This window comes from Homo sapiens, chromosome 7, assembly GCF_000001405.40.
Source record: "Homo sapiens chromosome 7, GRCh38.p14 Primary Assembly".
NCBI lineage: Eukaryota > Metazoa > Chordata > Mammalia > Primates > Hominidae > Homo > Homo sapiens.
Window position 1 is genome coordinate 92,152,788 of NC_000007.14, and position 27,987 is coordinate 92,180,774.

General features: G+C 38.3%; 1 protein-coding gene and 1 long non-coding RNA gene across 6 annotated transcripts in view, besides 2 other annotated features; one reads left to right on the forward strand and one right to left on the reverse strand.

Moving 5' to 3' along the window:
• The window catches only part of LRRD1 (leucine rich repeats and death domain containing 1), a 37,500-nt gene extending 11,145 nt beyond the window's left edge, over window positions 1-26,355 (reverse strand). Inside the window, exons 1-3 of one of the 4 annotated variants that reach the window (NM_001161528.2) lie at window positions 26,220-26,355; window positions 10,499-12,489; window positions 6,218-6,416 (exon numbers count right to left, since the gene is read on the reverse strand). In NM_001161528.2, coding sequence (NP_001155000.1) covers window positions 6,218-6,416; window positions 10,499-12,415 — 2,116 coding nt within the window. In that variant the 5' untranslated portion in view covers window positions 12,416-12,489; window positions 26,220-26,355. Of the gene's footprint in view, window positions 1-6,217; window positions 6,417-10,498; window positions 12,490-26,184 lie in introns of all 4 variants that reach the window. The other 3 variants (NM_001384933.1, NM_001384932.1, NM_001384934.1) reach the window with 3 other exon arrangements.
• Window positions 1-27,938, forward strand: part of CYP51A1-AS1 (CYP51A1 antisense RNA 1) — a 46,163-nt gene extending 18,225 nt beyond the window's left edge. For both annotated transcript variants that reach the window (NR_122109.1, NR_122110.1), the window contains 2 exons: window positions 12,193-12,277; window positions 26,064-27,938. This is a non-coding gene — a long non-coding RNA (CYP51A1 antisense RNA 1). The remainder of the gene's footprint in view (window positions 1-12,192; window positions 12,278-26,063) is intronic.
• Window positions 6,089-6,138: a silencer, noted in NCBI's record as "silent region_18367". NCBI's record gives its function as "represses an Ori minimal core promoter by ATAC-STARR-seq in GM12878 lymphoblastoid cells {active_cell/tissue: GM12878}" and the evidence as "EXISTENCE:reporter gene assay evidence [ECO:0000049][PMID:35858748]".
• Window positions 26,216-26,325: a silencer, noted in NCBI's record as "silent region_18368". NCBI's record gives its function as "represses an Ori minimal core promoter by ATAC-STARR-seq in GM12878 lymphoblastoid cells {active_cell/tissue: GM12878}" and the evidence as "EXISTENCE:reporter gene assay evidence [ECO:0000049][PMID:35858748]".
• Window positions 27,939-27,987: the final 49 nt, after the last annotated feature.

A 27,987-nucleotide genomic window follows, 5' to 3' on the forward strand; every position in this document is an offset into this window, starting at 1 on the left:
ACTCTCCTGAGTAGCTGGGACTATAGGTGCGTGCCACCACACCAGCTGATTTTTGTATTTTTAGTAGAGACGAGGTTTCACCATATTGGTCAGGCTGGTCTCAAACTCCTGACCTCGTGATCTGCCCGCCTGGGCCTCCCAAAGTGCTGGGATTACAGGCGTGAGCCACCGCGCCCAGCCTAATTTTAACTATTCTAATAGCAATATTTCATTGTATAGTTAATTTGCATTTCTCTAATATGACTAATAAGCATAATATTTTCATATGCTTCTTTCTTTCTTTCTTTTTTATTTTGAGACAGAGTCTAGCTCTGTCACCCAGGCTGTAGTGCAGTGGTGTGATTTCAGCTCACCTCAGCCTCTGCCTCCAGGGTTCATGCAATTCTTGTGCCTCAGCCTCCCGAGTAGCTGGGACCATAGGCACAAGCCACCATGCCCAGCTAATTTTTGTATTTTTAGTAGAGATGGGGTTTCACTATGTTGGCTAGGCTGATCTTGAACTACTGACCTCAAGCGATCCACCTGCCTCAGCCTCTCAAAGTGCTGGGATTATAGGCGTGAGCCACCACGCCCGGCCTCTTATGCTTATTTTTCATTCATATAGCTTCTTAGTAAATTATCTGTTCAAAATTTATACCAATTTTTATTAAGTTGTTTGACTTCTTAATTTTGTTTTTAGTTTTTTTTTTTTTAAGTATTAAGCAAATATTTTCTTCCAATCCATGGCTTTGCTTTTCATTCTTTTAAAAAATGTCTTTTGGGCTGGGCACAGTGGCTCATGCCTATAATCTCAGCACTTTGGGAGGCCAAGGCGGGTGGATAACTTGAGGTCAGGAATTTGAGAGAAGCCTGGGCAACATAGTGAAACCCCATCTCTACTAAAAGTATACAAAAATTAGCTGGGCATGGTGGCAGGCGCCTGTAATCCCAGCTACTCAGGAGGCTGAGGCAGGAAACCCCAGAGGCAGAAGCTGCAGTGAGCCTAGATCGTGCCACTGCACTCCAGGCTGGATGACACAGCAAGACTCTGCTGTAAAAAAAAAATAAAAATAAAAAAATTTTAAAAAGCCTTTAGTCTTGCTCTTGTCAGCCAAGCTGGAGTGCAGTGGCAGCATCTTGGCTCACTGTAACCTCCGCTTCCTGGGTTCAAGCGATTCTCCTGCCTCAGCCTCCCAAGTAGCTGGGATTACAGGCGCCTGCCACCACGCCTGGCTAATTTTTTGTATTTTTAGTAGAGACAGGGTTTCACCATGTTGGCTAGGCTGGTCTCGAACTCCTGACCTCAGGAGATCCACCTGCCTCGGTTTTCCAAGGTGCTGGGATTACAGGCATGAGCCACCACGCCCAGCAGAGAAGTTTCCAATTTTGATGAAAACCAATTTATCAATTATGTTTATTTGTGGATTGTAATTTCAGTGTTGTATATAAGAAATCCTTGCCAAAGTTTTGATTTTTTTCACCTTTTTTTTTGAGACAGGGTCTGGCTTTGTCACCCAGGCTGGAGTGCAGTGGCACGATCTTGGCTCATTGCAGCCTCAGCCTCATGGGTTCAAGTGATCCTCCCACCTCAGCCTCTCAAGCAGCTGGGACTACAGGAGTGCACCACCATGCCCAGCTCATTTTTTTGTATTTTGTTTGTAGAGATGGGGTTTCCCCATGTTGCCCAGGCTGGTCCCAAACTCCTGAGTCTCAAGCAATCCTCACATCTCAGCCTCCCAAAGTTCTGGGACTACAGGCATGAGCCATGACACCCAGCCTTTTAATATTTTTTCACTTTTTTTTTTTTGCAAAACAATATTTTTCTATGTTCTTATCTAGAAGTTTTGTAGTTTTAGCTTTTACATTTAGGTCTGTGATTCATTTTGAGGTAATATTTTTATATAGTGTGTAGGATCAAAATTATATTGTGGTTATTTATTTGTTTTTGTTTTATTTTGTTTTGTTTTGGCTTTTGGACATCCAGTTGATCCAGCAATATTTGTTGAAAATAATGTTCTTTCTCTGTTGGATTACAGTAGTTCCTCCTTATCCATGGGAGATACCTTCCAAGACCCCCCAGCTGATGCCTACAAACCAAATACAGTATCAAACATGATTGCTGTCAATCAGATCACATCTGTTCATGTCTTTCACCCACAAATTTAATGCCTTTTCCTTCTTAACTGAGCACTTATCATGCACTGTGGCTGTAATTTTGTAGTTTGAGGTGCAACAGCAAAATTAGCACAAATTTCTTTTTCTGTCTTCACAATTTCATCGATAGAATATTCGTCCTTAGCGTAGATCTTAGCAACCTCATCATATGATTCTTTTCTTTCCAAGTTGAGAACTCTCACCTTTTCACTTAAAGGAAGCACTTTAAGGCTTCTCTATGGTGTATCCAAATTGCCAGCATCACTACTCTTGTGCTTTAGGGCCATTAATAAGTAAAATAAGGGTTACATGAACACAAGCACTGTGATACTGTGACAGTGGATCTGATAACTGAGACTGCTACTAAGTGACTGACAGGCAGGGAGCACATGCAGTGAATGGATTCACAACCCAGGTAGGACAGTGCAAGATTTCATCACACTGCTCAGAAAAGTGCACAATTTTAAATTTATGAATTGTTTATTTCTGGAATTTCCCAGTTAATATTTTCAGACCACTGTTGATCATGAGTAAAACCATGGAAGTGAAACTGTGAATAAGGGGGAACTACCATGGCAAAAATCAGTTGACCACATAGTGGTCAGTCAGGGTTCTCTAGAGGGACAGGACTACCATATAGTGGGTGTATTAGTCAGGGTTCTCCAGAGGGACAGGACTAATAGGATAGATATATATATATAAAAGGGAGTTTATTAAGGAGTATTGACTCACATAACCACAAGGTGAAGTCCTGCAATGGGCCATCTGCAAGCTGAGGCACAAGGAAGCAAGTCCAAGTCCCGAAACCTCAAAAGTAGGGAAGCCAATAGTGCAGCCTTCAGTCTGTGGCCAAAGGCCCAAAGGCCCTAGAGCCCCTGGCAAACCAGTGGTGTAAGTCCAAGAGTGCAAAAGCTGAAGAACTTGGAGTCCAGTGTTTGAGGGCAGGAAGCATCCAGCATGGGAGATAGATGGAGGCCAGAAGACACAGCCAGTCTAGTCCTTCCACGTACTTCTGCCTGCTTTATTCTAGCCAAGGTGGCAGCTGATTAGATTGTGCCCACCCAGATTGAGGGTGGGTCTGCCTCTCCCAGTCCACTGACTCAGATGTTAATCTCCTTTGGGAACACCCTCACAGACACATGCAGGAACAATACTTTGCATCCTGCAATCCAATCAAGTTGACACTCAATATTAACCATAATTGTGGATCTATTTCTAGACTCTCTATTCTGTCCCATTGATCCTTATGTCTGTTGTTTTGCCAATACTATCACTGTCTTCATGACTATAGTTTTGCATAAGTCTTGAAATCAGGTTGTGTGAATCATCCAACTTTGTTTTTCTTCTTCAAAATTGTTTCAGCTATTCTAGTTCCTTTGACTTTTTATATACATTTTAGAATTACCTCATTGTTTTCTGAAACAAAAAACTCTGCTAGGATTTTGTTGGAATTGAGTTGAATTTAAAGATAAGTTTTGGGAAAACTGACATATTAACAATATTGTCTTCCAATTTATAAACACTATATATCTCTCTACTTATTTAGGTTTATTTAGTTTTATCTATGTTACAGTTTTCAGCATATAGATCTTATATGTAATTTGTTAGATTTATTTATGGTTTTGGTACCATTTTAAATTGTACTTTTAAAGAAATCAATTTCCAATCATTTCTTGCTAGTCTGTAGACATATGATTGATTTTTGTATATTAACTCTGTATACGGCAATCTTGCTAAACTTACTTGTTCTGTAGATCCTTTGGGATTTTTGACCTAGACAACGTGTCTCTGTTATCAGAAATAATTTTTTCTTCTTCCTTCACAATCTATTTACTTTTTATTTCTTTTTCTTGTGTTGTTGTGCTAGTTGGGATTCCAGTTATAACGTCAAAAAGAAGTGGTGAGAAAGGAGAACTTTACTTTAATCCTGATCATAGTGGAAAATAAATCGTTTACCATGGAGTGTGATATTAGCTATAGGAGTTTTGCAGATGTATTTTTTCAAGTTGAGGAAATTCTCTTCTATTTCTAGCTTGCTGAGAGTTTTTTTGTTGTTGTTTGTTTTTGAAAATCTTGAATGGAAATTGTATTTTTTCATATGATATTTGCTTTTTTTTTTTTTTTTTTTGAGATGAGGTCTTGTTTTGTTGCCCAGGCTGGAATGCAGTGGCACAATCATAACTTACTGCAGCCTCAAACTCCTGGGCTCAAGCAATCCTCCTGCCTATGTCTCCCAAGTAGCTGGGATTACAAGCATAAACCACCACATCTGCTTGCTTTGCTTTTTATACTTACAGTGAGAAGTTCACATGGCTTTTCATAAGCCTGTTCAGATGGTGAATTACATGGATTAGTTTTTGAATATTGACTCAACCTTGCATTCCCAGGGTAAATCCCACTTGGTCACAATATGATATCATTTTTTATATTGATGGATTTAATTTGCTTTAATTCATTAAGGAATTTTGCATCGATGTTCAAGCAGGATGTTATTCTGTAAGTTTCCAAGTAATGTCTTTGTCTTATTATGGTATTAGGATAATGCTGGCCTCAGAATGAACTGAGACATGTTGTATCCTCAATTTTATGACAGAATTTTTTAAATTGGCATTGTTTCTCCTTCCTTCCTTCCTTCCTTTCTTCTTTCTTTTCTTTCCTTCATTCTTTCAGACAGAGTCTCACTCTGTCGCCCAGGCTGGAGTGCAGTGGCACAATCTCAGCTCATTGCAACCCCCGCCTCCTGGGTCTAAGCGATTCTCCTGCCTCAGCCTCCTGAGTAGTTTTGATTTTGATTACAGGTGTGCCCCACCACACCTGACTAATTTTTTTTTTTTTAAGTAGAGCCGGGGTTTCACCATATTGGCCAGGCTGGCATCAAACTCCTGACCTCAAGCAATCCGCCCCCCTCGGCCTCCCAAAGTGCTGGAATTACAGGCATGAGCCACCATGCCCGGCCTAACTTAATGATTTCTTCTTTGAAATACTTGAAAGAATTCACCAGTGAATCCTTTTTGAAATTGGCATTGTTTCTTCTATAAAATACTTTATAGAATTCACCAGTGAAGTTATCTGAGCTAGAAATTTTCTTTGTATGAGAGCTTTTAACTACAAATTCAATTACTCAAATAGAATTAGGGCTATCTGTTAGCCCACAATGATATCTACCTCCTGTTACCCCCTTGTGTAGTCCCCTCCCACATTATACCAAGGTTGGTCTGTGTGATCAATAGAATAGAGCAGAAGTGATGTTATGTCACTTCCAAGATTAGGCATTTAAAGACACTGCTGGCTGGGCATGGTGGCTCACCCCTATAATCCCAGCACTTTGGGAGGCTGAGGCAGGTGGATCACCTGAGCCTAGAGAGGTCAAGGCTGCAGTGAGCCATGATCTTGCCACTGTGCTCCAGCTTGGGCAACAGAGTGAGACCCTGTCTCAAAATAAATAAATAAATAAACAAACAGATAAATATATATGTGTATATATGTGTATATATGTATATATGTGTACATATATGTGCATATATATGTGTGTATGTGTGTATATATATATATAATCAACGCAGTATTTGTTGTACTTTGGGAAATCTTTTCTGATATCTTTAGAGTGAGTGGTTTATTTTCTTATCTACAATGTCATTTTTATTTTGTTTTGGTTATTGTAATGCTTTACCTTGTAAATGACTCCATGTAAGGTATTAGAGTATTATAGGGTATAGGAGAAGTATCAGGGGAGCCAACAGAGAAGGAAACGCAGAAAAAATGCTGACCTGAGGTTGTGTAGGTGTGTGTAGAGGAAGAGGTGAGGTTGGGTTCAGAAAGGGAAGAAATACTAAATGACTGGGTATAGGCAGAGAAGAGAGAAAATAAATGAAAATATGTTCAGGCTCTCCTACTCTTTCAAGGCAGGAACTGGACCTTATACTTTGCTTTCATTTTCTGTACCTAGGACAGTCATTTCCTTCTAATGGTGACTTAATACCTTATGTTGACTCTTTGCCATTCTGTATCTTGTCAGCAAAATTTGCAACTCAGACATTAATACTCTACTTATTGATTATGCTTACTGATTATGCTTGACACTCACCACTCAGGTTTAGTTGCTGCAGATCATTTAAAGATAGCAAAGATGGTGGAAGATAACTTATTTGATTATTGTATGCATGTAAACTAACCAAATTTCTCAATTCTCCTATATTTCTTGGAATCTCTCTGATTGCATTATTTGAGATATCAAGTTCTTTAAGTTGAGTCATATTAGATAGCTCTCCTGGAAGTCTTGTTAGCTGTAACAAAGATTACACAATTATACATTTATAAATACATACATATTTGCATGACTAAAACTTCTTCTAAAATCAAATGAAAGAGTTTTGTCTGTTTTTGTTTTTGTCTTAAAAAGGAGATTTTTTATTATGTCACAAATTCTTTGTGACTGACTCTCCCTTCTGACTAAAACCCACAAGATATTGTGCGACATCCAAGTACCTCCCCAATCTGACCAATGCTTCTAATTCAACCCTGTGGCTTGCAACCCACTTTGCTCACATTCCCATCACTCAGTGTTCATTACCTCCTTATCCCATTCTCTTCTCCCTAAATCTGACCCTGTTTTGGCTTCTTTCCCGCCCCCCTCCCAGAAGTCTTTTCCAACTACTCCATCCCACATTTGATCTCCTTATTACTAGTCCTATCAACATTGCTTTTTTTTTTTTTTTTTTGAGACGGAGATCTCGGTCTGTCACCCAGGCTGGAGGGCAATGGCATGATCTCAGCTCACTGCAACCTCTGCCTACCGGGTTCAAGCAATTCTCCTGCCTCAGCCTTTTGAGTACCTGGGATCACAGGTGCCCAGCACCACGCCCAGCTAATTTTTGTATTTTTAGTAGAATGGGGTTTTGCCATGTTGGCCAAGCTGGTTTCGAACTCCTGACATCAGGCGATCCTCCCACCTTGGCCTCCCAAAGTGCTGGGATTAAGGGCATGAGCTACCTCACCAGGCCCCATTGCTTTTTATTCATCATTTGTGTGCGTTTTTTTAGATTTTCTAAATGACATGATACACATGTTTTATACTTTTTGTATGTGTTTCCAAGCACAAAATGCATTTTGACCAAATGTTTAATAATGGAGTCACAGTTTGGCAATGTGACCTTAAATAAAAATTCCTACTATAAAAAGTGTTGCAAAATTGCAGGAATTAAAATATTCTGTTAAGATGAAGAAGAAATATGCATATTTAGAGAAAATAGGGCCATTATGAGTGGCTTTTGAAATAAAGGAAGTTCTATGAACAAAACAATTTTGAATGTATAGGCACCTCTAATAGCTAAACAACAAGGTACATTCTGCATGTTGTGCTATATGTTCTTCCAGGTATAAAGGAAGCATAAGAAATAGTCTCCAACTTCACGGAGATTAAATTTTATTTTAGGGAACAGAATATATCCTATGAAAAAATCAGGAAATGGAATGAAGCAATAGGTAATCCAATGCCAAAATAATACAATTAATAACTGATGAATGAAAGTTTAGAAAAGGTACATTACTACAAATCAGAGAACTAAAGTAAAGCTTCATGTAAAAAGTAGAACTTGAATAGCCTCTTAAGAATGAATAGGCGGCTGGGCTCGGTGGCTCACACCTGTAATCCCAGCACTTTGGGAGGCCAAGGTGGGTGGATCACAGGAATTCAAGACCAGCCGACCAACATGGTGAAACCCCGTCTCTACTGAAAACACAAAAATTAGCTGGACGTGGAGGTGAGTGCCTGTAATCCCAGCTACTCAGGAGCCTGAGGCAGGAGAATCACTTGAACCTGGGAGGCAGAGGTTGCAGTGAGCTGAGATCGCACCACTGTCCTCCAGCCTGAGCGACAGAGTGAGACTCTGTCTCAAAAACAAAAACAAAAACAAAGAATGAATAGAATTAGAAAAAAGTTACAGGACACTTAAGGCAAGATAAATATCATGAATAACAATGGCCAGTGAGAAGCTGACCAGCAAAGAAAGGTGATGCAAAGCAGAGGGAGATTTGTTTGGATAAGGAGCATGGAACCAGGCTATGGCAAGACTTGAGAGCCTGGCCTATGAAGTAGGAGTCAGATCAAAACAGATAGGTGGGTTCAGTTTTATTTGGCATTCATTGAAACAAATATTCTTTAATTACCTTCTCAACATTTACTAGAGGTGGTGTCTGAGAGCTGTATGATGATGGAATTCATATAGAAGGAAGGTTCCTTTTGGGCATCCTTCCTTTAATAAAATAAAAGCCCTGTGATTAATCTGACTTTTCTTCAGATAAGTGACCATCTGCTATTATATAAGTTAATTATTTGGGCATTTCATTTCCACCCCAAGGGGGTTATCAAGTGATATTTTCAACTACATGGGATATTCTTTTTGACAGGAGTTCTTGTAAATCATTTTTTCCATTTGATGACCTTTGCAATGATGTTGCAAATATGTGGACTGTTGCCTTGGGCAGCCATTCACTTTGAGTAGACAACAGATACGCAATTTGGATTCCTGACAGGCAAGTATGATACATGGACAACAGTCCTCTGCAATGAAGTCTGACAACTTTGATAAGGCTTGCTAAAAGGGAGGAGGTTCCTGGCATAAATCTATGCATGAAGTGAGTGATAACCAAGGACCAGGTTGTAGACAGTGACACTGGAAAATGAGGGAGATAACCCAACAGCTTTTTCAGAGGAAAAATAATACAATTTTGGTGTAAGATGAGGTATAACTGATGATGGAAAAGGAACAAGAATGATTTCATGAGTTTTAGCCTGGCAGGTTTAAAAGAAAAACTGGCATCACAAACAGAAATGGAGAAGTTTTGAAAGGAGATGGAAGAAAAATGAGCTGACTTTGAAGTTATATTGAGTGTGTGACAACAAAAGAATAGAACATGTATAATTTCCAGGAAAAAAAATGAGAACTATGGGACTACAGCACTGGTGTGAGATCAGCTCTAGTCATGTAGACTTTGGGATAATGTGCATGTAAGTGACAGCAGGTGTGGTGGGAAAGGAGTTAATAAAAAAGAGAGAGTTAAGGATATAACATTGGAGATACCAACAGTTATCTTACAAGAGGAGAAAATGAATGAGATGGTTATGAATCAGTCAATGAATTAACTGATTATTATATTGCAGATATAAAAATTGTCTGTTAGTGCAAAATCAACTTTTTAAATACAAGCTGTATCATTATTCATTCCATCTGCTTAAGCAAGTATTCCCTGGAGCAGTTTTTCTGGAAATGTAGTATATGACAGCTGTTATGTTAAAAATGGTCAAATAAGTTTGGGAAATATGGGAATATTTTGGGAAAATTAGTGCAAGACTCTTCAAAGCTTTTAATAGATCAGTATTCATTGTTATTCTTTAAGAGAAGAACCCAGTGCTTCTTAAAGCTATTTGATCACAGACACTGCTCCCCTCCTCCCTTTTTTTTTGAGCAGATGCTCATGGGACTAGGGCTTTTAGGAGTAGACTTTGGGAAGCCCTGCCTTAGATAATAGCTGTGTTCTTTTCATTTGTTTACTAAGATCTTCATATAAATCAGTAATGTTTTAGTTATTAAAAAATTATTTCCATAAAACTTACTCCTAGAGTTTCAGTAAGATAAAATGCTAAGCTCTAAAAATGTTAATTCTTATTGATCTAGCAATTCTTCAGGAAAAATTTCCTAAGGAAATAGTCTAAAATATGAAAAAGGCTATATTTATGGAAAAATTCATCACAGCATTATTATGAAGAAAAATTATAACATTCCTAAATGCATAACAAGAGGTTTAGATCTATAAATCATGTACTGGTTATAACAATTTATTGGGAAGATGGTTATATCAAAGAGAAATGCTTATTGGTTAAAAAAAGAAGAATTTAAAATTGAGTGTGTAGTCTTTTATAATTCCTTATAAAACCATATGCATAACGGGAAAAAAGACTAAAAGTTGTGTCAACGTATGCCCGTAGTTATAATACAATGATATGCTTGTGGAATGACTTTTGTCTTACTTTTATCACTTTCCAAACTTTCAATAATGTGTTTATATGACATTCATAACTTTAAAACTCCTTTTACAATTACACCAAAATAAAAAGGAATCTATAGAATTGTCAGCTTTCATTGCTTCATATTTCATTTTAATGAAGTATTTTCCTGTACAGCTTTTGTGTTGTGAATTGTATTTATAAGCCATGTTTGGCGGGGACGGGGAGGGCTTTCATTTAAAAAACAAAATATTTCAGCTCAACTTAAAACACACATACGGTACCCACAGATACACCACAGCTTGGATTCTGATCCTCTCCAGTCTCTCCTTCCCCACAAAGCCCACAATACCAGTCTCTTACCTTTCTCCCTTTTATCTGACTTATATTCAGCTGTTCCAGTGATTGAAGTTGGCACAGTTCAATAGGAAAATGTATAAATTGATTGCTTGAGAAGTTTAATTTCTGGATTCCTTTTAAATTACAGATGTCTGAAGAGATTTTCTGTAATTGGTTTTCCGAAAGATCAAGTACTTGCAAATTTTCTAAAGTACACAATTCTCTAGGGAAAGTTTCAAATTTATTACAGCATAAAATAAGTACGTGGAGTGATATCATATTAGAAATTGATGCTGGAATTTTCTTTATTTGGTTTTTACCAAGATCCAGGTATTTAAGATTAATAAGAGAACAAAAGTGCTCAGAAAATATGAGGAGTTTGTTTTCACTCAATTCTAAATGAAGCAGTTGTTTACTGAAAGATATATCCACAGGTATTTCTGAAATATAATTTCCATTAACACTCAAATAATAAAGAGAATCTAAAGCACACAGTCCCAATGGAAAATACATTATTTTGTTATAACTCAATTCAATTTTAATTATTTTTTGGCAGTTTTTTATTTCAATGGGAACATCTGTGATTATGTTTCCTGAAAATTCTAGACTGCATATGTTATTAAGATGTGAGATACAGTCAGTTATTTTTACCATATTATTTCTGTTTACATGGAGTTTTCTTAAATTGTTAAGCTTATGGATGTACTTAGGGAGTTCTGTTAATTTATTATCACTAAGACTAAGGCATTCCAACATTGCACAGCAAGATATTTTCTCTGGTATATTTTTCAATAAATTTTTATCAAGTATAAGAATCCTAAGTTCCCTGAAATTCTCAATTTTGTGTGAAATAACTTCCAATTTATTGTCGGCCAGTTGGAGTTCTTTTATTTTGAGTAACTGAAAAATTTCTACAGCCAGAAAGGTAAGCTTATTGTGATCCATTAAAAGTGTTTCTAAATTTTTAAGCTCTCTAATTTCTTTTGGCAAACTGCTTATTAGGTTTCCAGTAAGGTCTAGTGAAATTAACTTTGGAAGGAAGCAGAGAGCTTTAGGAAATGTTGTTAACTGATTATATTCCAAATTGAGAACCCTCAAGGTTTTTAAACTAGGCAGAGTATCTGGTATATGTCTTAACTTATTTTTACCCAAACTTAAAATTTCCAAGTTTCCAAGACATTCTAAGTCAGAAGGAAAATTTTCAATGTAATTGTTATAAAAAAAGAGTTGTCTGATATTCCCAAGCTGAGATATTTCTTTAGGTATATGTGATATGTGGTTATGACTGACATTTAATATCCTTAAATTATGAAGTAACTGAATTTCAGATGGAAGTGATGATAATCCATTTTCTTGCAGGGATAGAATTTCAAGTCCTAACAGATCACCTGAGTCTGCCCCTTGAAATGTTTTGATTTGATTCTTGTCTAAATATAGATATTTTACATATTTGATTTTTAAAATGTCCTTAGGAAATTCCTGTAAACCCTTGGCCTCAAGGTTAACTGTAAAGTTATCTGCCCCTAGGCCAAGTTGTTTCTGATTTTCTTCAGAGACTTGTGGACTAACTTCTCCTACTGTTTCATGAGATAGGAAGTTAACCAAAGCCTGATATTCTGCAGTCCTCCCAGTTAGTGATGATAAACTCTGTGAAGTTCCTGTTCTAGTGCTTGTTTCAGAAAATTGAAGATTTTTCTTTTGTTCTTCATTTCTCTTAGACTTCCTTCCAGAGGAAGATGTTGACTCTAATGTATTCTGTCTAGGATGTGTTTCATAAATCTGGTTAGAAGATTTCCCTTCCAGGTAATCAGAAGCTTCGTTTATCAAATTTGATGTTTCTTTAATAAAGCCAGGCTCCTTCATTGACTGTGATCTAGATTCTTTCCTAAATTGACTAATAGTATCCTCTAGCACTTCTGACATACCCTCCTTTTCAGACATCTTATTTGCTGATATGTTTTATGCCAATACAAAATTGTAACTTGATTTTAATTTTCATGTTTTTTCCTTTGAATCTACAAAACAAATGTTGAAATTAAAAGATGTAAGAGATGTCAAAATGACAAATAAATCTTAATACAACTATTTTATTTTATAAGAAATAATTTAATACAAATACAAATAATACATTTATAACAAACTAATTTTATATATAATTCCTGATTAAGGATGGTTTATTGATTGCATGTACTTATCACATGTTACTCTTGAAATCACTTTAAAATTACAGAAAGAAACAAAAAAGTTCAAAGAAAATTAGAAAAAAGCCATAAGGGACTGAGAGGATTCAGCAAATTTCATGGAAAACATAAAAGGGGGCCGGGTGCGGTGGCTCACACCTGTAATCCCAGCACTTTGGGAGGCCGAAGGGGCGGATCACTTTAGGTCAGGAGTTGGAGACCAGCCTGGCCTAACATGGCAAAACCCTGTCTCTACTAAAAATACAAAAATTAGCTGGATGTGGTAGCGGGCGCCTGTAATCCCAGCTACTGGGGAGGCTGAGGCAGGAGAATTGCTTGAACCCGGGAGGCAGAGGTTGCAGTGAGCCGAGATTGCACCATTGCACTCCAGCCTGGGCAACAAGAGTGAAACTCCATCTCAAAAAAAAAAAAAAAAAAAAAAGGTAACATAAAAGGGAGAGCCAGTGGCCTACCATGACAGGTAAAGAGTACCATTCTCACTGTGAACATGGATGTTTACATATGGTACTAGTGTCTTGCTCTAACAAATTCAGTACATTATGACAATTTTCCTGGGGGTAGAAGTGAAATGTCTTAAGGAAGGGTACGCTTTCTGTAAGAGTAAACTAGACATCAAATAGTCCTTGCGTGGATTGCAACCTTCCTGAGACTTCTGAGTGACTCCTGTGGTACCAGCACCAGCTGGGTAGCACCACTCCTCAGAGGTCTGGGTCCCAGCTCTGTAAGTCCCTCCTTCAAGCTTGCAGTTTCTAATGACCCAGTATTTTCCCTTTGTCCCTTTAGCCTTAGGGTTGGTAGCTACTTCCTATGTTTACTATCTCTGTGTTGCTGCAGTTCCATCTTTACCTTTTTAGTTCTCCAGTACTTGTCTAAGCAACTTCTTATATTAAATCCTGTCAAACTGGCATGGTTTCAGTATTTCACAAACTCTCCCAGAGAGTAGAAAAAGAGGGAACATTTTCCAACTTGTTTTATGAGGCTAGCACTAACCTCAATGTCAACAAGGACAATATGAAAAAGAAAATTACAGGCCAAATTTACTCAAGAACAAAAATGTAAAAATTCTAAACATTAGGGAATTATTCTAAATATTATAAAGCCATCAATATATAAAAAGCATACTACTTCATGAGTCAGTTGCATTTGTCCCAGGAATGCAAGTTTGGATTTAACAATAGAAAACTAATGTAATTTGCCACATTAAGAGATTAAAGAAGAAAATCCCATGTAAATATTGCAATAGATGTAGAAGTACTTGATAAGTTGCAACATTTTTCATAATTTACAAAGTAGGAATAGATGGGAATTTCTTTAATCTGCTAAAGGGTACCCATAAAAATCTGCAGTAAACATCATATCTAGTGGTGAAACACTGAAAACTTTTGAGATTGGAAGCTAGAAAAGGTTATGCTCATCATTACTTCTATTTAACATTGTACTGAGATAGTAATTAGCCAGTGGCATAAGGCAAAAAGAAAAGGTATATGGATTAAAAGGAAGAAATAAAATGGTCATTAGTCACAGATAATATATATGTAGAAAATCCAAGCTCATCTACAGTAAATTATTAGAATAAATAAGAACATTGAGTAATATTGCTAAATACAAAGTCAACATACACAAGTCAATTTTCTTTCTTTTTTTTTTTTTTTGTGGGGACAGTCTTCTCTGTCACCAGGCTAGAGTGCAGTGGTGCTATCTTGGCTCACTGCAACCTCCGACTCCCTGGTTCAAGTGATTCTCCTGCCTCAGCCTCCTGAGTAGCTGGGACTACAGGCGCACGCCACCACACCCAGCTAATTTTTGCGTTTTTAGTAGAGACGAGGTTTCACCATGTTGGCCAGGATGGTCTCGATCTCCTGACCTTGTGATCCATCCGCCTCAGCCTCCCAAAGTGCTGGGATTACAGGTGTGAGCCTGTAAACTTTTTAGTTTTGGTAATTGCACTATGATTATGAAAAATGTTGATATAAGGGGAAGATAGATGAAGGGTAGAAAGGAACTTTCTTTACTATTATTGCAACTTTTCTGTAAGTCTAAAATTATTTCAAAATAGAAAAATTTTTAAAGTAATCTGAGTTAAAATGTTCTAAAGTGTTTTTCATCTGGGGTAGTTAAGAAGTTATTCTGCTCAGCCGGGCGCGGTGGCTCACGCCTGTAATCCCAGCACTTTGGGAGGCCGAGGCAGGCTGATCACGAGGTCTGGAGATCGGGACCATCCTGGCTAACACAGTGAAATCACGTCTCTACTAAAAATACAGAAAATTAGCCGGGCATAGTGGCGGGTGCCTGTAGTCCCAGCTACTCGGGAGGCTGAGGCAGGAGAACGGCATGAACCCGGGAGGCGGAGCTTGCAGTGAACCGAGATGGCGCCATTGCACTCCAGCCTGGGCAACACAGCGAGACTCTGTCTCAAAAAAAAAAAAAAAAAAAAAAAAAAAAAAAATAAGTTATTCTGCTCTAAGATTCTGTTAAAAATGCTTGATAAGATTTGATTAAATATTGATTCAGGAGATTTCAAGTTCTAAAATTGACACCACAAAAGCAAGCTGTCTTCTCTCCTCCCACCAACAGAAGCCAAAAACAAATATACAGGGCCACGATTATTACCAGCAATATCCCAGAACTCAAACATGAGGAGGAAATAGTTCCTAAGACCGCAAAGGTGAAAAAATTCTAAGCAGACAATAAGAGAATTAGATATCCATATCCAAGATGCCCCTTTCTCCAATCTGCCTGGCACCAAGCATACAATTTTTTATTGTGATTCAGTTTCTAGAATGGGAAAGTGAGATCAAGGTGGACAGCTGGCTTCCCTGCCAACTTGGATTCCCTGGCAGGAGACCTGTCCCTGCCTCAACCCATGGGAAGTACTGGGAGTGCCTATAGGAAGAAATATCCCTGACAACAGCCAAAAAGAGGAGGCAAAACTACCATTCCCAGCCCTGAAATTCTGCTTTGTAACTTGGCCAAAGGAGACACCACATCAGAGTGCCTATTCAGCAGCACCATGCTGTAGGAGGTTCGTTCCACAGGTCACCTGGACATGAACTCCTACCTAGCCTTCTCACACTACCAAGATATCCCCTTTGGGATGTACCCCATCCAGAATGCGTACTTGACTATTTACTAGAACCAAGGCAAACCTAGGCTTAAGGTTCTATATAGTGCTGCAAAGGATGTAATGACTGAGTGGAGAAAAAAAAAAAAAAAAGAAAGAATCAACAAGTAAATTACAAAGAATCTGTAAGCAAACACATCCAGTAGAAACCCAAACAAGCCAGACGAAGACTGGAAGAAATAACTAATCTTTCAATGTACATATGTACATCCATAAGAAATAACAGCAATCAGGGATCCATGATGTCCCCAAACAGACAAAGCAAGGAATCAGTGGATGACCCCAACAAGATGGTAATATGTGAACTCTCTGACCAAGAATTTAAAATGACAGGTCTGTTTTGTTTTGTTTTTTTGAGACAGTCTTGCTTTATCACCCAGGCTGGAGTGCAGTGGTGCTATCCTGGCTCACTGCAACCTCTGCCTCCTGGGTTCAAGCAATTCTTGTGCCTCAGTTTCCCAAGTAGCTGGGATTACAGGCATGCACCACCATATCTAGCTAATTTTTGTATTTTTAGTAGAGACAGGGTTTCATTGAATTGGCCAGGCTGGTCTCGAACTCCTGGCCTTAAATGATCTGCCCGTCTCGGCCTCCCAAAGTGCTGGGATTATAGGCGTGAGTCACCGCTTCCTTAAAACTGCCATTTTAAGGCAGTGATCTCAAAATAACACACACAAAAAAACAGTGATCTCAAAAATAACACAAAAAAGCAATTCAGAAAATTATCAGAAAAATTTAACAGAGATTGGATAATTTAAAAAATCAAACAGAAATGTTGGAACTGAGAGGCTGGGCACGGTGGTTCATGTCTGTAATCCCAGCACTTTGGGAGGCCGAGACAGGTGGATCATGAGGTGAGGAATTCAAGATCAGCCTGGTCAAGATGGTGAAATCCCATCTCTACTAAAAATACAAAAATTAGCCGGGCGTGGTGGTGGGTGCCTGTAATCCCAGCTACTTGGGAGGCTGAGGCAGATAACTGCTTAAACCCAAGAGGCAGAGGTTGTAGTGAGCTGAGGTTACACCACTGCACTCCAGCTTGGGCGACAGAGAGAGATTTCGTCTCAAAAAAAGAAATTTTGGAACTGAGAAATACATTTACTGAACAGAAAAATTCACTAGAGGCTCTCAACAGTAGAACAGATCAAGCAGAGGAAAGAATAAGTGAGCTCAAAGACAGGCCATTTGAAAATACTCAAAGAAGGCCAGGCACAGTGGCTCACACTTGTAATCCCAGCACTTTTGGGAGGTGGAGGCAGGAGGATTGCTTGAGGCCAGGAGTTCAAGACCAGCCTAGGCAACATAGCAAGACCTCATCTCTACAAAAAATAAAAAAATTAGCCAGGCGTGGTGATGTGTGCTTGTGGCCCCAGCCACTTGGAAGGCTGAGGTGGGAGAATCACTTGAGCCCAGGAGGTTGAGGCTGCAGTTAAGCTGAGCCAAGATCATGCTGGCATTCCGTACTTGGTGGTAGAATGAGACCTTGAAAAAAAAAAGAGAGAGAGAAATAAAGAAAGAGAGAGAGAGAGGAAGGAAGGAAGGAAGGGAGGAAGGAAGGACGGAAGGAAGGAAGGAAGGAGGGAAGGAAGGAAAAGAAAAGAAGAAAGTACTCAAAAAAAGAGAAAAGAATAAAAAGCAATGAAGATCACCTAAAAGATACAAAAAATTACCTCAAAGTACCAGATCCAAGAATTATTGATATCCAAGAGGGAGCTGATCTAGAGCAAGAGGTAGAAATCTTATTGAAAGAAATAATAACAGAATACTCTCCAGTTTAAGAGCTAAATATCCAGATACAGGAAGGTCAGAGAATACCAAGCAGATTCAACCCAAATAAGGCTACTTTAAGGCATGTAATAATCAAACAAAGGTCAAAGACAAAGAGAGGATTCTAAAAGTGGCAAGAGAAAAGGCGCAAATAACATATAAAGGCACTCTAATTCATCTAGCAGCAGACTGAAATACAATAAAGGCGTTCTAATTTGTCTGGCAACAGACTGAAATACAATAATAGTAGGGAATTTCAACACCACACTCTCAATAATCAATAGATCATCCAGTCAAAAAATCAACAAAGAAACACTGGAGTTAAATTACACACTAGTCCAAATAGGCCTAATTGACATTTACAGAACACTTCACCTAATCGCTGCACAATACACATTCTTTTCATTAGCACTTGGGACATCCCACAGAATAGACAATATCTTAGGACACAAAACTGGTCTCAACAAATTCAAAAAAATTGGCACTAACATCAAGTATGTTTTCTGACAACAATGGAATAAAACAGGAAATCAATATCAAGAGGAACCTTGGAAATTACACATACACATGGAAATTAAACAACATGCTCATGAATGACCATTGTGTCAATGAAGAAATTAAGGAAATTAAAAAGTTTCTTGAAACAAATGAAAATGGAAATACAACATACCACAATCTATGGGATACAGCAAAAGCAGTATTAAGAGGGAAGTTTGTACCAATACAGGCCTATATAAAAAGTAGGAAGATTTCAAATAAACTAATGATGTACCTCAAAGAAATAGAAAAGGAAGAACAAACCAAATTAAAATTAGTAGAAGAAAAGAAATAAGAAATATCAGAGCAGAAATAAATGAAATTGAGACTAAAAAAGAATACAGAAAACAATAATGGAAAAAGTTGTTTTGAAAAGATAAATCAACAAACATTTGTCTAGACTAAGAAAAAAAAAGAAGACCCAAATAAGTAAAATCAGAATCAAATAAGGAGATATAACAACTGAGACCACATAAATACAAAGAATCATTAGAGACTATTAAGAACAACAATACATCAACAAATTGGAAAACCTAGAGGAAATGGATGAATTTCTGGACACATGTAACCTACCAAGATTAAACTATGAAGAAATAGAACACTTCAACAAACCAGTAATGAGAAATGACATCAAATCTGTAATAAAAAGTCTCCCATCCAAGAAAAGTCCAGGCCTAGTGGCTTGACTTCTAAATTCTACCAAACATTTAAAAAAGAATTAATGCCAATTATACTCAAACTCCTCAAAAAAACTGAAGAGGGAATTCTCCCAAACTCATTCTACGAGGCCAGTGTTACCCTGATACCAAAACCAGGACACAGCAAAAAAAGAAAACTACAGGCTAATATCTCTGATGAACATAGATGCAGAAATCCTCAACGAAATACTAGCAAAATGAATTCATCAACACATTAGGAAGATTATTTACTATGATCAAGTGCGATTCATCCCAGGGATGCAATGATGGTTCATTCAACATATGAAAATCAATAAACATGATACATCACATTAATAGAACCAATAACAAAAGTTATATCATCATTTCTATAGATGTTGAAAAACATTCAATAAAATTCAACATCCCAAATTAGCTGGTGTGTTGGCACATGCCTGTGGTCCCAGCTACTTAGGAAGGTGAGATGGGAGAATCACCTGAGCCTGGGAGGTCTCAGGTAAGCCATGATTCTGCCACTGCACTCTCTGGCCTGGGTGACAGAGTGAGACCAACCCTGTATCAAAAAAAAGAAAAAACAAACAAAACCCAACATCCGTTTATGATATCAACCCTCAACAAAGGAACATACCTCAAAATAATAAAGGTCATATATGATATCTACAGCTAACATTATACTGAACAGGGAAAATTTGAAAGCATTTCCTCTAAGATCTGGAACAAAACAAGGATGTCCACTCTCACCACTCTTATTCAACATAATGCTGGAAGTCCTGCCCACATAATTAGGCAAGAGGAAGAAGTAAAGGGTGTCCAAATTGGCAAGGAAGCAGTCAAATTAGCCTTGTTCACAGGCGATATTATTTTACACTTAGAAAAATCTAAAGACTCCACTAAAAAATTTGTTAGAACTAATACATTCGGTAAAGTTTCAAGATTCAATATCAACATACAAAAATCAGTAGCATTTATATATGCCAACAGTGAACAATCTGAAAAAAAAAATCAAGAAAGCAATCCCACTTAGAATAGCTGCAAATAATATAAAATAGCTAGGAATCAATTTAACCAAAGAAGTGAAAGATCTATATAAGGAAAACTAGAAAACACTGATGAAAAAAATTGAAGAGGACGCAAAAAATGGAAAGACATTCTATGTTCATTGATTGGAAGAATCAGTATTGTTAAAAATGACAATACTACCCAAAGCAATTTACAGATTCAATTCAATCTCTATCAAAATACCAATGACATTCTTCACAGAAAGGAAAAAAAAATCCAATCCTATAATTTATATGGAACCACAGAAGACCCTGAATAGCCAAAGCAATCCTGAGCATAAAGACCAAAGCTGGAGGCATCATCCTTCCTGACTCCAAATTATACCCCAAAGTTATAGTAACCAAATCAACATGATACTGGCATAAAAACAGACACATAGACCAATGGAATAGAATACAAAACCCAGATATAAATCCACTCATTTACAGCCATCTCATTTTTGACAATAGCACCAAGAACATACAATGGGGAAAAGACAGTCTCTTTAATAAATGGTGCTGAGAAAACTGGATAACCATATGCAGAGGAATGAAACTAGACACCTATCTCTCACCATATGCAAAAATCAAATCAAAATGGCTTACATACTTAAATCTAAGACCAGAAGCTATGTAACTACTAGAAGAAAACATTGGGGAAACACTTCAGTACATTGGTCTGGCCAAAGTTTTTTTGTGTAAGACCTCAAAAGTACAGGCAACAAAAGCAAAAATAGACAAATGGGATTACATCAAGCTAAAAAGCTTCTGCGCAGCAAAGGAAGCAATCAACAAAGTGAAGAGACAGCCCACACAGAATGTGAGAAAATATTTGCAAACTACCCATCTGACAACGAATTAACCAGAATATGTAAGGAGCTCAAACAACTTAAAAGGAAAAAAAATCTGATTTGCAAAAGTTCTGAATAGACATTTCACAAAAGAAGACATAAAATGGCCAAGAGGTATATTAAAAAATGCTCACCATCACTAATCATCTGAGAAATGCAAATCAAACCACAATGAGATATCATTTTATGCCAGTTAAAATGGTTTTCATTAAAAAGACCAGGAATCACGGATGCTGGCGAGGATGTGAAGAAAGTGGTTCTGCGATATCGTTGATGGAAATGTAAATTAGTATAGCCACTATGAAAACTGTATTGGAGTCACCACAAAGAAAGTAAAAATAGAACTAGTATATGGTTCAGGAATTCCACTACTGGTATATATCCAAAATAAAGAAAATCACTATATCAAAGAGATATCTACACTCCATGTTTATTGCAGCACTGTTCACAAAAGCCAAAATATGGGATCAGCTTAAGTATCTATCAACAGATGAATGGATAAAGAAAATATCATATATATACACAATGGAATATTATTCAGCCATAAGAAAGAATAAAATCCTGTCATTTGTAGCAACATGGATGGAACTAGAGGTCATTTGTTGAGTGAAATAAGCCAAGCACAAAAAGATAAATATCATATGTTCTCACTCATATGTGGGAGCTAAAAAGTAAATGAAGATAGAGAGTAGATTGGTGGTTACCAGAGGTCAGGAAGGGTAGGGGTAAAGGGATCATGAGGAGAGGTTGATTAATAGGTACAAATAAACAGTTTGATAGACGAAATAAGGCCTAGTGTTTGATAGATCAGTAGGGTGACTATAGTTTACAATAATCTATTGTATATTTCAAAATAACTAGAAGAGAATAATTTGAATGTTTCTAGCATAAGGAAAAGGCAAATATTTATGTTTATGGCTATCACAGCTTCACTGATTTGATCTTTACAAATTACATGATTGTATTAAATTATCACATATACCTTGAAAATATCTACATATATTATGTATCAATTAGAATATATATATATATATATATATATATATATATATATATATTTTTTTTTTTTTTTTTTTTTTTTTTTTGAGACAGAGTTTTGCTCTTGTTGCCCATGGCACAATCTCGGTTCACAGCAACCTCTGCCTCCCGGGTTCAAAGTGGTTCTCCTCCCTCAGCCTCCCGAGTAGCTGGGATTACAGGCATGCGCCACCATGCCCAGCTAATTTTGTATTTTTAGTAGAGATGGGGTTTCACCATGACGTCCGGTCCTAAAAAAATATTTAATAAAACTTTAAGTTTTGAAGGTTATTAAGATAATCTATGTCCAGGCTGGGCGTGGTGGCTCACACCTGTAATCCCAGCACTTTGGGAGGCCAAGGTGGGTGGATCACCTGAGGTCAGGAGTTCAAGACCAACCTGGCCAACATGGAGAAACCCCGTCTCTACTAAAAATAAAAATAAAAAAATTAGCTGGGAGTGGTGGTCCATGCCTGTAGTCCCAGCTACTTGGGACGCTGAGGCAGAATTGCTTGAACTCAGGAGGTGGAGGTTGCAGTGAGCCAAGATCACACCAATGCACTCCAGCCTGAGCAACAAGAGTGAAATTCCATCTCAAAAACAAAAACAAAACACAAAACACAAAAAAAACCCATAATGTGTGTCCATATTATCTCCACTCAAAGTTTCTCAAAATATGTAGTTTATGGTCTTATCTGTTTTTACTATGGCTGAGTCAAAGTATTTAGGTTTGTAATCTTCTATTTCCATAATGTTTTTTGCCATATTTCAATTTTATGGTTTTTTGCTTTTTGTGCCTTAAGAAATTCTTCTACATTTACTTCTGTATCAGAGTCCTACAAGAAAGAGATGATCCACTCAAATTGAGTAATTTGAGGAAACTTTAACAGAGTGCTGGCCAGGCGTGGTGGCTCATGCCTGCAATCCCAGCACTTAGGGAGGCCAGGGCAGTTGGATCACCCGAGGTCAGGAGTTTGAGACCAGCCTGACCATCATGGTGAAACTCTGTCTCCACTAAAAATGCAAAAATTAGCTGGGCATGGTGGCGCACGGCTGTAATCCCAGCTACTCGGGAGGCTGAGGCAGGAGAATCGCCTGAACCCATTGAGGCAGAGGTTGCAGTGAGCAGAAATCACGCCATTGTACTCCAGCCTGGGCAACAAGAGTGAAACTCCATCCCAGAAAAAAACAAAACAAAAAAACAAAAACAGAGTGCTTATTTACAAAGGTGTAGCCAGAGTGTAAGGAAACCATAAATTCTAAAAAATGCTATGCTTTGCTTTTCACAATTAGGTTTTTAATCCACATGGAAATGATTTTGTGTATGCTGTGAAATAAGGATCTAATTTATTTTCTCATGCCTAGTCAATTGTCTCCAACAATTTATTTTTCAATAGTAAATTATTCATTGATTTCTAATTCTTCAATCATAGTTCATATATGTGTGGAGATGTTTCTGAACTTTCAGTTCTATTCCTTTTTATCTAAGTTGGTATCAATACCACATGTTTTAATGATTATAACTTTGTAATAAATCTGGATATCTGGTAGAGAAAGTCCTCTCACTTTATCCTTTTCTTAAAAACTATGGTGGTTATTCTCAGTTCTTTACATAGCCAGATCAATTTTAGGATAAGTATGTCAAGTTCCACAAAGTATCTTGCTTGGATTTCAGTTAGAATTAAATTAAATTTGTAACTTTATTTGGGAAAGAAGTGATATACCCATGGTATTGAGTCTTCCTATTTAATAACATGGCATATTTCTTTTGCGATGGAGAATAATATCTTTTTTTAGTTTTTAAAATACTGTCATATAGAAACTACTACTAATTTTTATATGTTGGTCTTGTATGTAGCAATCTGACTAGGTTCTCTTATTAGTTCTAACAACTTTATACATTCTCCTAGACTTTCTATAAAGACAATATTCTAAGTATTGACAGTTGTTTCCAATTGTATGACTTACTTATTTTAGTGTCTTATTGCATTTTTTAACCCCTTTAGTACAAAGTGGAATAGTAGAGATAATACCAGCTATCTTTGTCTTGTTCCTTTAATCACTGGTGTGGTATATTACATTAAGAGATTCTCTCATTTTTTTTTTTTTTTTGAGACAAAGTCTTGCTCTGTTGCCCAGACTGGAGTGCAGTGGTGCAATCTCGGCTCACTGCAACCTCCGCCTTCCAGGTTCAAGTGATTCTCCTGCCTCAGCCTCCTGAGTAGCTGGGACTACAGGTGCATGCCACTATGCTGGGCTAATTTTGTATTTTTAGTAGAGATGGGGTTTCTGCATGTTAGTCAGGCTGGTCTCGAACTCCTGACCTCAGGTGATCCACTCGCCTCAGCCTCCCAAAGTGCTGAGATTACAGGTGTAAGCCACCATGCCTGGCCACATTAATAGATTATTAAGCATGAGGCATTTCTTGGATAAGTCAAACTTGGTTATGATATAATACTTGTGTGTTTGTGTGTGTATATATATATATATATAAAACAAGAATATATTACTTGTATAATATATAAATAATAAAAATATAAGAAATTTATTACTTATACAAGTAATATACAAATGATATATAAATAATATATTACTAATTACTATAGTTTATACATGGTAATGAATATTAATACATAGTAACATAATATGACATTACTTATCAATTATTATATATTATAAATCTGGTCACATTATATTACTGAGTAAATGTAACATTTACTCAGATTTTTTATGCCCATGTTCATTAGTAATTTTGCTGATTTTTTTTTAATACTCTTTGTCCAGTTTTGGTTTCAAGGTTATACTACCATCATAGAATGAGCTGGGAAGCCTATTCTAATTAGCTATTTGTTGAAGCATTTTACATATTTTGGGATAATGCATTCCCTGAAGGTTCAGTAAAATTTATTTTGTGCTCTCTTTAATGGTTAGTGGTTTGTTCAGATTTTCTTCTTCTTCTTGAGAACATATGGGGATATAATTGCCTTCCCTGGCTTCATATTTCCTTGTGGAGGAAATTCTACACATAATGCCCCTGACCTGGAGCTTTATTGCTACAATTTCTCCTCTGTGGAGAAGACAGGCAGATGACTCATGAGCTCAGCTCCTTCTGGGCTCTTACTTTCAAGGCTGTCTGCTTGCAAGATTTATGTTCTAGTCAGCTGTCTTCCATAGAATAAGGGGACTGTATACTTGTGTGGGGAGGCCAAGGTTGTGTGTGATGACAGACTAATTATGCCAAATTCCTGAGCAAATTATTGCAGTCTACTTAGCTGCAGATCAACACCATTTTCTCTAAACTATTTTATCAGTAACAAAGATGATATTTTGACCTACATCTGCCTGACTATATTTGATGATACAGAACTTGGGAGGGGAAGAAAGGGTGTTATTCTTTAAACAGCACAGATATGCAATGAAATTTCCATTAATCCAGAATATACATAGTGGTTAACATGCAGTGATTTGAAATAAAATATTATTTGAAAAGCTATTTTTATAGCTGCAAAATATTGCATTGAAGAGGCTGCCACCAATTATTTGTTTCCATATGAGCATTTTAAAGGCTGATACACAACATTTTAAAAATGTATATGCACCTTGAGAGGCCCAGGCGTGCAGATCACGAGATCAGGAGATCGAGACCATCCTGGCTAACACGGTGAAACCCCGTCTGTACTAAAAATACAAAAAATTAGCCAGGCGTAGTGGCGGGCGCCTGTAGTCCCAGCTACTCGGGAGGCTGCGGCAGGAGAATCGCTTGAACCCGGGCGGTGGAGGTTGCGGTGAGCCGAGATCACGCCATTGCACTCCAGCCTGGGCAACAAGAGCAAAACTCCGTCTCAAAAGACAAACAAAAAACTATATGAAAAAGTCTCTCATTATTTTCACAAGCATTAAGAATCTCACTTAAAAACATGGCTGGGCGCGGTGGTTCACGCCTGTAATCCCACCACTTTGAGGGGGCGAGGCAGGCAGATCACTTGAGGTCAGGAGTTCGAGACCAGCCTGGCCAACAGGGTGAAACCCCGTCTCTACTAAAAATACAAAATTAGCCGGTCGTGGCGGCGCGCGCCTGTAATCCTAATTACTCGGGAGGCTGAGACAGGAGAATTACTTGAACCCAGGAGGCAGAGGTTGCAATGAGCCGAGATTGCACCACTGCACTCCAGCCTGGGCAACAAGCGCGAAACTCTGTCGCAAAAAATAAATAAATACATACATACATACATACAAATATTGCCAATTTGATAGGCAAAAATATATGCAAATTATGTTTTAACAAATATTAATAAAGTTGAACAATGGCCCAATGTAATTTGTTACCTATCTGAAAGACATGCACATTCAGGGAGTTACAGTACTTTTTCATGTCTTGCAGCATCAACAAATTGTTTTCTAAATGTGGAAAAAGAGACATTCAGTACAGGCTAACGTAACGTGGGACAGCATGCAAAGCCATGAGAAGTGGGAAAATGAGAGAGAATCTGGGCGTGGCTTACAGGGCTGCTGAAGTAAGACACACCCTTCGCTTCACCTGTGGCCTCCCGCGGCGGCTGCGGCTCCTTCGCAGGACCGGTAGGGGGCGCGCGCGGTTGAGTCCAGCAATTGCGAGGACCTCCGCAGGCGCAGCCCAGCACTGACGCCTCTCCGGGCCGTGGCTCCTCTTTCCCAGGCCGAAAGCGGCCGGGCCCTCTGCTCCGCTGCGCCCTGGCGCGGCCGCACCCACTGCGCGTTTGTGAGCTGGCCATCGGTCACACTGGGATACTCGAGGAGGAGGCCTGGGGCCTGCATTCAATTCCCTAAGAGGGACCCGCGCTGGCCGCTGCAGGCGGGTGGAGAACGGGCGTCTGAGTCTTTGGCTTTCGTACCGGAATCTCCCCGGGAGATTTTACAAGCCCCTCCGAATGTTCTGATTGAATTGGTCTGGGGGGGTCGGTCCGGGCATCTAACGAGCAGCCGGGATGGAGAATTACTAGTCTGGATTCTGGTCCTCAGAGGTTCACTCACGTTAATCAACCCGAGTCCATCTTGGTGGGATTGTCTTGCTCCGAGGCCCTCCCACTGAGCTTTATTTTCCTGCCTGATTTCGGGGTCCGCTAACAGGATGAACAGCGGACCATACAGGCACGGTGAAAATGACACTTGGTGACGTGGAAGACCCAGCTTGCCACAGTTGAGGCAGAGCTCCTCAGGGTCTTTTGTCTTAGTTATCCCCGAGCTATTTTTCAGGAACCGACAGGCTCCCCCACCCCAACACCGGATGAAGGCCAGCAACTGGAGGCCAGGAATAATCAAGCACGCTCTCATTTCAAAGAGGTGACGATTGTGCCCGTGTTTAAAAGGGATGCCTGAGACCATGAGGATTTGGAGTTTTGGAGGCGGATCTGCCTTTGGGGAGTGAGCGTAGGGCCCTAAGATGTGGTTGTGCTTTGAGACAGTTCCCAGGGTGATGTGTCCCATCATCCAAACATTGCAGGATAAGTCAAAGTTACAGAAAGACTCTAGTTTACTTCCAGCCTAACATTACCAAAATACGGTATTTGTCAGAAAACATGTAGTATTTGTATAATTTGAGAATGTAATTGAAGAACCCGATATAGAGCTTTTAGAAAGGGGAAATAGAAAACTTAAAAAGAATCTTGCTTGGTATATTAATACCAACATCTAAAATATAATAAAATTGAATAAACCAGTGAGTTTTATACTATGATTGAAATAAAATGCCACTATGTTCTTAAGAGTGCTAGTTTAACAGGAAATCTCCAATGCATTATTATCTAGACTCATCTCAAAGGCTCACTTTTCATTTGCATGGGCCCTTGCTATTTGTAGGGTAGGAGGCAGCACCTCGTTCTGGTGGCTGCCACCTTCATGAGGAGACACTCCTTGTTAACAGGATGGTTAGCCCACGGCTCTTCCCAGCCCCCTTTTCCACACCCAGTAAATTGTTTTAGTTTATGGCCCTCAGCTGCAGTTGCAATCATCATCAAATTCCAGTTTTGAATTTAAAGGTGAATAATGAATGCAATGAACTTTCTAGAATTTATGAAGGGCAGTGATGTTCCTTTTTATCTAATAATTCTACATGTGTAGCCTTTCAGTATGCTATTCTGTGGACTGAATTTACAAATTGTCATTTGTTTAATGAACTGTTAATATAACATGATGACTAACTGAAAACACATACAATTTGCTGGTATTCCAGAAGTCTATGGATTTCGTTGTTTTGTTTAAATAAAAGGCATTAAAAGCAGCTGCTTAGTATACTTACCTTCTTCACTCAGCATAAGGTAGAGGTGAAA